This window comes from Homo sapiens, chromosome 10 (assembly GCF_000001405.40).
Source record: "Homo sapiens chromosome 10, GRCh38.p14 Primary Assembly".
In the NCBI taxonomy this organism is placed as follows: domain Eukaryota; kingdom Metazoa; phylum Chordata; class Mammalia; order Primates; family Hominidae; genus Homo; species Homo sapiens.
In genome coordinates this window covers 73,629,699-73,641,815 of record NC_000010.11, presented here as the reverse complement: position 1 = coordinate 73,641,815, position 12,117 = coordinate 73,629,699, and the positions used below count along the sequence as shown (strand labels likewise).

Sequence of the window (12,117 nt, the reverse complement as noted above, 5' to 3'; positions counted from 1 at the left end):
CTGACTGAATTCCTATCCAATACTTGCTGTCTACTTCCTGTCTCCCTCTCAGTCTTCAGTTTCTCCCTAAGTGCTTCTTTGGATCTCAGGCTCTAGGTGCAATGTGAAGGGGAGTCCCTGGGCAGACTGATCCCTGGCTCAGACAGTTCAGTGGGAGAATCCCAAAGGCCTTTTCCCTCCTTCCTGAGCCTCCGGGCAAGGAGGGAGGGATCTTGGTTCCAGGGTCTCAGTACCCCCTGTGCCATTTGAGCTGCTTGCGCTCATCATCTCTATTAATAACCAACTTCCCTCCCCCACTGCCAGTGCTGCCCCCACGCCTGCCCAGCTCGTGTTCTCCGGTCACAGCAGCTCAGTCCTCCAAAGCTGCTGGACCCCAGGGAGAGCTGACCACTGCCCGAGCAGCCGGTAAGTCTCCAGCTCTATCGTTAGAAAGGCTGGAGCCCACTGTGTTGACTTCTGTGTCTGTGTCTACAATTGTGATTCTTGATCCTGGGGGAGTCTCCCCTCTCCTCATCTATGCTCAGCTCCCAGCTGTCCAGTTGGAAGGAGAGGGGAAGGAGAGTTGGAAGGAGAGGGGCCCAGGAGGTTGGGGGGAATGGAGATGTCGGGGGAGGCACTGGAAGAATGGGAAGGGAGACCCCACTAAGTCAGTAGAGTTGCAGATGTATTTTTTGAGACAGGACTTAGAAGAGGACAGCATTTCACTGAGTGCCAACTTCTCTTAAGAAGGGATTGGAGTCCATCTTATCCCAGTTTGTCCCTTTCCATTGCCAGATCCTATTACTATGTTTCTGCCCCACCTCAATTCCCCACTGCTATGATATTGCTGAATTGACGTGTCGGGATTTGAATGCTCCCTACCCTTCCCAGTTCCACACCTGCCTCCACTCTGGGGTCTGTGGCGGGAGTGATTGCAGGAGCAGGGCCATGACTTCCCAGGCCATGTTCCAGCTGGCCTGATGAAGGAGCAACAACCTCTCCTTCCTATGGAGAGTGTTTTTGGCTGAATCTCCTCAACCCTGGCAGAATATTTCTCTGTCCTCCTGGGGACTGGGGGAAGACTGAGGAGAGACCAGAGCCTGGAATCACAGCCCCAGTCTGATATCCCAGTGCAAATAAAAACTTCAAATCATGCCAAGCCAATGAAACCTGGGTGCATTGCCCTGCTTGTGTTATTGTTTTTTAAACACTCCCCACACCTAGCTATGTTCCTAATTCCTGCACTGACTCTATGAAAAACAGCTCACAACAGGTTGGTAGACAACAGGGGCTGGTGTGCATCTATACTTCCTGTCCTGTATCCCAAGAAAAGAGAAGCCCTAAAGCGCAAGTTTTCACCTTTTGGGGAAATACATGCTTCTTTGAAAATCTGGGTCAGGTGAAGTGGCTCACCCCTGTAATCTCAGCACTTTGGGAGGCAGGAGGACTGCTTGAGCCCAGGAGTTTGAGACCAGCCTGGGCAACATGGCAAAACCACATTTCTACAAAAAATACAAAAATTAGCCAGGCACGGTGGTGCGCACCTATAGTCCCAGCTACTTGGGAGGCTGAAGTTGGAGGATCACCTGAGCCCAGGGAGGTTGAGGCTGCAGTGAGGCATGATTGTGCCATTGCACTCCAGCCTGGGCGACAGAGTGAGATCCTGTCTCTAAAAAAGAAAAAAAAATTTTTTTGTCCCCTCAAGCCCTTAAACCCAGGTTAAGAAGTGCTGCTCTCCTACAGACACTCACTCTTCCCAGTCCCTGTCCATCCACCAACTCCTCCTTCCCACCCTGTCCAGGCTGAATCCACCTCCACAATGCCGCTCTCAGGAACCCCGGCCCCTAATAAGAAGAGGAAATCCAGCAAGCTGATCATGGAACTCACTGGAGGTAGGACATGTTTGCATCTCCCTAGTGTGGGACTTCTTAAGAGCATCCCTAAACCAAGAGTCCCAGAAATATATATCTTAGGGTGAACAAACAAGAGAAATTAAGTGGTGGGAAGGCGGGTGATGGGGAGTGGGAGAGGGAAGATTAAGAAGGGTAAGGAGAAAGAGAGAAAAGATTCAACACCTTCTACCCTTTTCACTTCATAATCTGAGACAATACCCTGCCATGTTACCTGCACAGGTCCAGGACCACAGGACCCATGAGTCAGTGAGGTATATTTGAGGAAGAAAATATAATGGAGACTGGCACAGACTCAGGTCTCAATAAGTGGTTAATTTCCCTTACTTCTTTCCCCAGAGCTAGGGAGCTTGTGTAAGTACTTAAAATGGAAAACTGCACAGGCATGTTTCCTGGGGGTGGGCAGGGGTGCATGCATGTGAAGAGCTCTTCAATACCTAGAGACTCTTTGGAGCCAGAGCTCACTGAGGGAAAGAAAAGGGAAAGTAGTTAAGACAGAAGTCTGGGCCAGGTGCAGTGGCTCACGCCTGTAATCCCAGAACTTTGGGAGGCCAAGGCTGGTGGATCGCTTGAACTCAGGGGTTTGAGACTGGCCTAGGCACATGGTAAAACCTCGTCTCTACAAAAAGTACAAAAATTAGCCAGGTGTAGTGGCATGTGCCTAGAGTCCCAGCTACTCCAGAGGCTGAGGTGGGACGATCGCTTGAACCCGGGAGGTGGAGGCTGCCGTGAGCCATGATTGCGACGCTACCCTCCAGCCTGGGTGACAGAGTTCATCCTAAGATATATTTATTTTGTCTCAAAATAAATAATACAAATAGGGCTGGGGCTGTGTCTCATACCTGTAATCGCAGCACTTTGGGAGGCTGAGGTGAGAGGACCACTTGAGCCCAGGAGTTCAAGACCAGCCTGGACAACATAATGAGACCTCATTTCCATTAAAAAAAAAAAAAAAAAAAAAGTCCAGGCGTGGTGGCTCATGCCTGTAATCCCAGCACTTTGGGAGGCTGAGGTGGGCCAATCATCTGAGGTCAGAAGTTCAAGACCAGCCCGGCCAACATGGTGAAACCCTGTCTCTACAAAAATAGAAAAATTAACTGGGCATGGTGCCGGGTGCCTGTAATCCCGGCTACTTGGGAGACTGAGGGAGGAGAATCACTTGAACCCAGGAGATGGAGGTTGCAGTGAGCTGCAATCGCGCCATTGCACTTCAGCCTGGGAGACAGAGCAAGTCTCTGACTCAATAAATAAATAAATAAATAAATAAATAAATAAATAAATAAATAAAATGTAGGCTGGGCGCCACGGCTCACGCCTGTCATCCCAGCATTTTGGGAGGCCGTGGCTGGTAGGTCAGTTGAGCTCAGGAGTTTGCGACCAGCCTGGCCAACATGGTGAAACCCCATCCCTACCAAAAAATATAAAAATCAGCCAGGGATGGTGGTGCAGGCCTGCAATCCCAGCGACCTGGGAGGCTGAGGCAGGAGAATTGCTTGAACCTGGGAGGCGGAGGCTGCAGTGAGCTGAGATCGCGCCATTCCACTCCAGCCTGGATGATAGAGCAGGACTCTGTCTCAAAAAAATGAAAAAAAAGAATAAAAAATAAAAACAAATATATATATATATATATATATGGCATCTGTATTTGGACTCCACACAAGATTGGCCTCTGGGTTTTTCCTGATGCCATGGTTTCTCCAATGGCCTCCATCTATGATGTTCCTTTACTCCTTTTGCTCTGTACCCCATGCCCGTACCTCTTTTACCCCATTGGCCTCTCCACTCTAGTATTCCCATTATCTCCACAGTGCACCCCAGTTCCCATGCATTCTCTCCAAGTCCCAGGAAATCAAAATCCCTCACAAACTAGACAGCATTTGTTCCCCTAAATGACCTCTGCCAGGACACACATACACACTTAGTTGTGGATGAGGTCTGCATTCTGAGCCCAGAAAACCCTACTTTCCTCTTTCCCTTGATTCTTCTTCTTTGCCTCCCTGAAAGGTGGACAGGAGAGCTCAGGCTTGAACCTGGGCAAAAAGATCAGTGTCCCAAGGGATGTGATGTTGGAGGAACTGTCGCTGCTTACCAACCGGGGCTCCAAGATGTTCAAACTGCGGCAGATGAGGGTGGAGAAGTTTATTTATGAGAACCACCCTGATGTTTTCTCTGACAGCTCAATGGTGAGTCTGGAACTTTATCACTATCTCAAAGCCTGGTGCCTGTTCTGACAGCTTGTTAGTAGGCCCTGAACCTCCAAAATGCAGTCAACATCCCCTCCCTGAAAATTTATAAATTTGTTAAACCCCCAGATATATTGAGCCCGCAACAGCTCCAGGGTGAGTTACAGCCCACCTCTGAAACCCAGTTTTCATCATAGAGCCACTGAAGGGTTGGAGAATACCACACCCTTAGGGAGAAAATTCCTTCCCAGTAAAGGTAAGTGTTAAAGATAGATTGCCAGATAAAACACAGGATGCCCAGTGGGGCAGTCCAGTCTTGTATTTTGAAGTTGAGATACACAATGAATAATTTTTTAGTGAAGTATGCTCCATGCAATATTTGGGACATAAAGATAAAAATTTAAAAAAATTTTAGAAAGAAGATAAGGCAGCCAGGCATGGTGGCTCACACCTGTAATCCCAGCACTTTGGGAGGCCGAGGCAGGTGGGTCACCTGAGGTCAGGAGTTTGAGACCAGCCTGGCCAACATGGTGAAACCCCCATCTCTACTAAAAATACAAAAAATTAGCTGGGCGTGGTCGTGGGTTCCTGTGATCCCAGGTACTCAGGAGGCTGAGGCAGGAGAATCACTTGAACCCAGGAGGTGGAGTTGCAGTGAGCCCAGATTGTGCCACTGCACTCCAGCCTGGGCAACAAGAGTGAAACTCTGTCTCAAAAAAAAAAAAAAAAGAAAGAAAAAAGAAAAAAGGAAGAAGATAAGGCAAAGAATAAAATTGAAATTTTAAAATACAGAATATACAATTAAATTTGAGTTTCAGATGCACAATGAATTCTTTTTTAAATATGTCCCATGCAATATTTGGGACATTAAAATAAAAATACAGGATGTCCACTTAAATTTGAATTTCAGATGCAAATGAATAATTTTTTTAGTATAAGTAAGTCCCAAGCAATATTTGGAGGCATATCTATACTAAAAAAGTATTTGGGTCAAGTGTGGTAGCTCACACCTGTAATCCCAGCACTTTGGGATGCCAAGGCAAGAGGACTGCTTGAGTCCAGGAGTTGGAGACCAGCCTGGGCAACATGGCAAGACTCTGTTTCTACAAAAAATTAAAAAGTTAGCTGGGTCTGGTGGCGCACACCTGTAATCCCAGCTACTCTGGAGGGTGAGGTGGGAGGATGGCTTGAGCCTGGAAGGTAGAGGATGCATGAACATGAGCCATGTTCACACCACTGCACTCCAGCCTGGGTGACAGAGAACCCATCTAAAAAAAAAAAATAAAAATTTGTTGTGCATCTGAAATTCAAATTTAAGTGGTATCCTATATTTGATTTGCTAAATCTGGCAACCCTAGAAAGAGTTAATTGAGTTTTTACAGCCACCTCCCATTTGAGCCATTCTTCCATTTAAAGGGTCAGTCTATTCCCTAAGAAGCCCCAGGTGTGGAGACTGAAACGGTCCTTCAAGATATATTCTAGTCAGGCTCCTTCTCCAAAGAAAGAGGAGACTGGAGAGGGGCCAGGCACAGGATGGTATAGCTGAGGAAGAAGGGCCTTCTCCATTTCCTTTCTTCCTCCTCCACCCTCTCTGAGTGGCTGGGGGAGAGTGGAAATAGATGCCTGCATGGGGCCGGGGGCAGAAGTGTCTGTCATTGGTCCTCATATAGGAGCAGAGTAAAAGTGCTGAGCTGCTCATATCTAACTTTAGGAGGCCAAAAGCACTCTTCTCTGCCTGGGTCTGGTTACACTGGGTGGAGCATTGGGGTGTACATGGTGGGATGGCCAGGAGAGCCTCCTGAAGAAGTTGGTGGGGTTATTTTTAGGCTTTGGGTTTGCATCTAATGTTGCCCTTTTGGCCACACTTCCCCCCACCTGCTACAGTGTCACTGTCACCAGTGAGGTCCAACAGGCACCAAGAGGAGAGAGGAAGAGAAAGAAGGAGAGAGAAGAGAGTTCTGACTGTTGGACAAGCTGAGGAAGGGAGGGGGCAGAATTTCTCTAGTCCTTGTAATTAAGACTGGGTGCTCCATGGCAACCCCATCCTCCCAAATTTTAGTTGGGGCTGGACACAGCTCATGCCTGTTATCTCAGCACTTTGGGAGGCTGAGGCAGATGGATCACTTGAGCCCAGGAGTTTGAGACCAGCCTGGGCACATGGCAAACCCTGTCTCTAGGAAAAAAAAAAATACAAAATTTAGCTGGGTGTGGTAGCATGCCAGTAGTCCCAGCTACTTGAGAGGCTGAGGTGGGAGGATTGCCTGAGCCAGGGAGGTGGAGGTTGCAGTGAGCCGAGATTGTGTCACTGCACTCCAACCTGGGTGACAGAGCCAGATTCTGTCTCAAAAAGCAAAAGAATTTTTTTTCATTTTTTTTTTTTAAAGCTGGGCAGGCGTGTTGGTCTTTTTTGACTTGTTAAGGATGAGAAAGGGGAGTGTGGAGAACACGCTGCCCTTACCCTAGGTATAACTGGAGGAAACGAGCCAAGGGAGTCCTACCTCTTAAGAAGAGTTTAATTCGGGCTGGGTGCGGTGGCTAACGCCTGTAATCCCGGCACTTTGGGAGGCCGAGGTGGGTGGATCATCTGAGGTCGGAGTTTGAGACCAGCCGGACCAACGTGCAGAAACCCCACCTCTACTAAAAATATATCAAATTAGCCGGGTGTGATGGTGCATGCCTGTAATCCCAGCTACTCGGGAGGCTGAGGCTGGGAATTGCTTGAACCTGGAAGGCTGAGGTTGCGGTGAGCCGAGATCGTGCCATCACACTCCAGCCTGGGCAACAAGGGCGAAACTCTGTCTAAAAAAAACCACAAAAAATCAAACAAACAAAAAGAAGAGTTTAATTCTCTTAGTCAGCCCATGTACTACCCATCAACTGGAGGGGGAAATATCAGAAAATTCAGGGTCTTCTGGTTAGCCACTATTTCTGCCTTTGCTAAACATACCTCTGTTTTTGTATATTTTCCATACCCATTGCTAACCTTCCCCTCACTTTGTCTTCTTTTCAGGATCACTTCCAGAAGTTCCTTCCAACAGTGGGGGGACAGCTGGGCACAGCTGGTCAGGGATTCTCATACAGCAAGAGCAACGGCAGAGGCGGCAGCCAGGCAGGGGGCAGTGGCTCTGCCGGACAGTATGGCTCTGATCAGCAGCACCATCTGGGCTCTGGGTCTGGAGCTGGGGGTACAGGTGGTCCCGCGGGCCAGGCTGGCAGAGGAGGAGCTGCTGGCACAGCAGGGGTTGGTGAGACAGGATCAGGCAAGTACACTCACCCAAGAGTAATGTGTTTGGTCCCTAGAGCAGAGTTGTCCCAGGAATGATGTCTACGCTGAGTGTGGGGAGCAGAGGAGGTCAGTTTAAATATCTTAATATTAAATATAATAATATCAGTTTAAATATCATAAATATCTTGGTGAATTACCTGGGTCCAGGAGTATATAGAGATGTGTCTATTCTACCCAGAAGCCTTGTTTTTCAGTTACTTTCCTGGCTTTTCGGATTCAGTCACAGATCTGCCCACAGACTATCATTATGCCACAAACCTTATACAATTACCAGGATATTATATCTTTAGTCCCTGGCTCTTGCAATTTCCCTAGTGTAGGGGCGTGGGATTACCTTTCATTGGCTACTAAATGCTATTATTTGACTGAATTTTCTCTCCCATGGCTACCAGGAGACCAGGCAGGCGGAGAAGGAAAACATATCACTGTGTTCAAGACCTATATTTCCCCATGGGAGCGAGCCATGGGGGTTGACCCCCAGCAAAAAATGGAACTTGGCATTGACCTGCTGGCCTATGGGGCCAAAGCTGAACTTCCCAAATATAAGTCCTTCAACAGGTAGGGGTGGTGAGGAAGGAACCAGATGCATTCTAGTGTGAGGCACTGTGTCTTTAGTTAGGATGGAGACTAATTCAAATGTTTCAGAAGGAGGCTAAGGAGAGATGGCAGGGATATGGGGGTCCTAATCAAAGGCCCTGCTCTTTTCACTCTATCTCAGCTTCATCATAGCAGTGTGATGAAGGAAAAAATTTGCTGGGAGGCAGGATTTGAATTCTAGCTCAATGGTCATTTATTAGCTGTGTAGGCATGGGAAAATCACTCTACCTCTGAGCCTGGGTTGCTTTGAACGTTACACTTATTTATTTTTTGTCTTTTTTTTGCTTCCTTTTTGTGGAGAATGGGGTCTCGCTATATCGCCCAGGCAGGTCTCGAACTCCTGGGCTCAAGCTATCCTCCCGCCTCTGCCTACCTGAGACCTGGGATTACAGGGGTGAGCCACCGTGCCCGGCCTGCTTTGAATGTTAAATGCGAATAACATTTTACATGTCTGAAGGCCTCTTGAGGCTCTCTTCCATTCAAGGTTAGGATGCCATTATTCTCCCTGTAATATGATTCTATTTCCTTATACTTTTTTCTTTTCTTTCTTTCCTTCTTTTTCTTTGACTCAGTTTTGCTCTTGTTGCCCAGGCTGGAGTGCAGTGGCATGATCTCAGCTCACTGCAACCTCCGCCTCCTGGGTTCAAGTGATTTTCCTGCCTCAGCCTCCCTAGTAGCTGGCATTATAGGCACCCGCCACCACGCCCAGCTAATTTTTGTATTTTTAGTAGAGATGGGGTTTCACCATGTTGACCAGGCTGGTCTCAAACTCCTGACCTCAGGTGATCTGCCCGCCTCGGGCTCCCAAAGTGCTGGGATTACAGGCGTGAGCCACCATGCCTGGCCACCCTGCTTTAGATGGCTCTAAGTCTCTGTTCTTTTGGAATTAGGCTTCTCTAGCCCATGGAGAGGAGGTCTGTGTGAAAGGATAGGGAAGAGCTAGAAAGGTACTCTTGTATTTGGTCCTAAGGAGCCTGGATTTTCCAGGCAACAATAATTACTCTTAGCCAGGCTATCCACTGTCCACTAGGGTTGGAGAGAGGGGGTCTCTATATTGCAATTTTTTTTTTTTTTTTTGAGACAGAGTCTTGCTCTGTTGCCCAGGCTGAAGTGCAGTGGTGCAGTCTCGGCTCACTGCAACCTCCACCTCCTGGGTTCAAGCAATTCCTATACCTCAGCCACCTGAGTAGCTGGGATGACAGGGGTGCGCCACCATGCCCAGCTAATTTTTTTTTGGGGGGGGGGTGTTTGTATTTTTAGTAGAGATGGCGTTTCACCACGTTGACCAGGCTAGTCTCAAACTCCTGGTCTCAAGTGATCCACCCACCTTGGCCTCCCAAAATGCTGGGATTACAGGCGTGAGCCACCGCACCGCACCTGGCCTTTCTACATTGTCATGTAAGGTGACCTCAGGCCCTTGGGTCTATAGTATTTGGGGTCACTTTCTCTGAAATGCTGGTCTGGGTCACAGCTATCCAAGAGTCTCTAGTACACACTAGACTCCTTTTCTCATTATTAGCTTTGGGGAAACAAGCTAACCAGGAAGGCAAAATGGGATGCTAAGGAAGAAGAAGGAGTACAGATGCAATCCCAAACTAGAATTCACAGACTTCCCTATTCTCAAAGAGGGTAGCATCTCATGATAAGGCTCTGTTTCTTTTATTCTGATTCTTAATTAAATAATGTGTCCCCTTCTCAGGACGGCAATGCCCTATGGTGGATATGAGAAGGCCTCCAAACGCATGACCTTCCAGATGCCCAAGTTTGACCTGGGGCCCTTGCTGAGTGAACCCCTGGTCCTCTACAACCAAAACCTCTCCAACAGGCCTTCTTTCAATCGAACCCCTATTCCCTGGCTGAGCTCTGGGGAGCCTGTAGACTACAACGTGGATATTGGCATCCCCTTGGATGGAGAAACAGAGGAGCTGTGAGGTGTTTCCTCCTCTGATTTGCATCATTTCCCCTCTCTGGCTCCAATTTGGAGAGGGAATGCTGAGCAGATAGCCCCCATTGTTAATCCAGTATCCTTATGGGAATGGAGGGAAAAAGGAGAGATCTACCTTTCCATCCTTTACTCCAAGTCCCCACTCCACGCATCCTTCCTCACCAACTCAGAGCTCCCCTTCTACTTGCTCCATATGGAACCTGCTCGTTTATGGAATTTGCTCTGCCACCAGTAACAGTCAATAAACTTCAAGGAAAATGAACTCATTCTTCCTTTGATATTTGAGAGCAGATGAAAGCCGAGGCTAACAATGCACAGAGACTAATTAAAGCCAAATACTAAACATTAATTATGCAAACTTTAAGACAGATCTGAGCTCCAGTTGCTTACACACCTACACCCATACGCACAAAACCACATTCATAGTTACTTACAAAGACGTTTATTCAATAGTACATGAGACAAATAATCACGCACAAACACATGTGCCGGCCCAAATGTTGGCAAAGCTAAAAAGCTGCTGTGCACCGCAGTTGGGAAATGGGTGTTGGTGACCCTGGTGTTCACCCGCTTTATGTAGTTGATTAGAAGCTGGTATAATCAGGGTTATCCTGATTGTCACAGACTAGAGCATGCCATAAAGTTTCCAGATTATACCAAAGTGGGTTTAGGAATATAAGTGTCAAAGATTACACATTCCCAAAAGGATGAAATAGAATAGGGGGCCATGTGGAATCCAGAAGGAAATGGGAGAAACCAGCTACAGTTATAGTATGCCAGGCTCTGTGTTGAACACAGCAAGAAAAGATCTAAGGGTTACAAGGGCACTACAGTGGTACCTAGAAAGCAGTATGGTTGGGAAGAAATCTTAAGAGCCCGATAGGAATGCGCAACAATATTCTTTTTGCTCATTACAAGGATGGGGACTCTCTAAGAGTCCCAGGCCTACTGCCATGTTCCACAAAGTAAGACTAATGCAGATCAGAAAGAATGAAAAGATGGCAATAAGATCTGAGAAAATAACTTCTAAGGAGAGCTGGCTGAATTCAGTCAACTCCATGAGCTGCTAATGGTTAGATTAAGTTTGCCAGAATCTGCATTAGATGGATCATATTTTAGTGCACCTTGGGTCAAATGGCATTTACCCTGGTCATCTTCACTTATAATCTAATGAGCAAATTCCAGAGAATTCATACCCCCTCTAAGCATTTTTTTTTTTTTTTGAGATAGGGTCTCACTCTGTCGCCCAGACTGGAGTGCAGTGAAGTGGTGCAATCTTAGCTCACTGCGGTCTCCACCTCTCAGGTGCAAGTGATCCTCCCACTTCAGACCCCCAAGTAGGTGGCACTACAGGAGCTCGCCACCACGCCTGGCTAATTTTCTGTATTTTTTTGTAGAGATGGGGTTTTGCCATGTTGCCCAGGCTGGTCCTGAACTCCTGAGCTCAAGCAATCTGCCTGCCTCGGCCTCTCAAAGTGCTAGGATTACAGGCGGAGCCACCGTGCCTGGCCTACCTCCTTTAAACGTGTATACAAAACTTTGTACCTTTTCCTTTTTTTTTTTTTTTTAAATGGAGTCTCGCTCTGTCACCCAGGCTGGAGTGCAGTGGCGCGTCTCGGCTTACTGCAGTCTCTGCCTCCTGGGTTCAAGCGATTCTCCTGCTCCAGCCTCCCGAGTAGCTGGGATTGCAGGCACCCATCACCATGCCCATCTAATTTTTTGTATTTTTAGTAGAGACGGGGTTTCACCATGTTGGCCAGGCTGGTCTTGACCTCTTGACCTTGTGATCCACCCACCTCAGCCTCCTAAAAGCGCTGGGCTTACAAGCGTGAGCCACCACACCTGCCCCTCTGTACTTTTTCCTAAGGAGAGGGTTGTCATAGTTTGTATTCTCCCACCCACCCTAAACAGACCCTGAAAGAAAGATTTGGATGCAAGACCAGTTCATTTGGGATATGATCCCAAGAAATCCAAACAGTATAAGGGAGTGAGAGGAAAGCCAAAAGTCCCTTTGAGCTATTGGGGCTGAATCCCACTGGGGAGTCTTAGAAACAATGCTACTCAAAACGTGGTCTAGGCTGGGTGCGGTGGCTCACGCCTGTAATCCCAGAACTTTGGGAGGCTGAGGTGGGCGGATCGCCTGAGGTCAGGAGTTCGAGACCAGCCTGACCAGCATGGCGAAACCCCATCTCTACGAAAAGTACAAAATTAGCCGGG

General features: G+C 47.8%; 1 protein-coding gene across 1 annotated transcript; it reads left to right on the top strand.

Annotated features, from left to right (window-relative positions):
- Positions 342-10,204, top strand: MYOZ1 (myozenin 1). The gene is made up of 6 exons (NM_021245.4): positions 342-405; positions 1,781-1,871; positions 3,894-4,072; positions 7,083-7,332; positions 7,751-7,916; positions 9,655-10,204. The coding sequence occupies exons 2-6, from the start codon at positions 1,799-1,801 to the stop codon at positions 9,884-9,886; spliced, it is 900 nt and encodes a 299-aa protein (NP_067068.1). The 5' UTR covers positions 342-405; positions 1,781-1,798; the 3' UTR covers positions 9,887-10,204.

What these genes read in the sequence shown, in the direction of transcription:
- MYOZ1 (NM_021245.4), top strand. Translation starts at nt 1,799, where the DNA reads ATGCCGCTCTCAGGAACCCCGGCCCCTAATAAGAAGAGGAAATCCAGC. An exon ending in GATCATGGAACTCACTGGAG is followed by an intron (nt 1,872 to 3,893) that starts GTAGGACATGTT and finishes CCTCCCTGAAAG; the next exon opens with GTGGACAGGAGAGCTCAGGC. An exon ending in AAATATAAGTCCTTCAACAG is followed by an intron (nt 7,917 to 9,654) that starts GTAGGGGTGGTG and finishes TCCCCTTCTCAG; the next exon opens with GACGGCAATGCCCTATGGTG.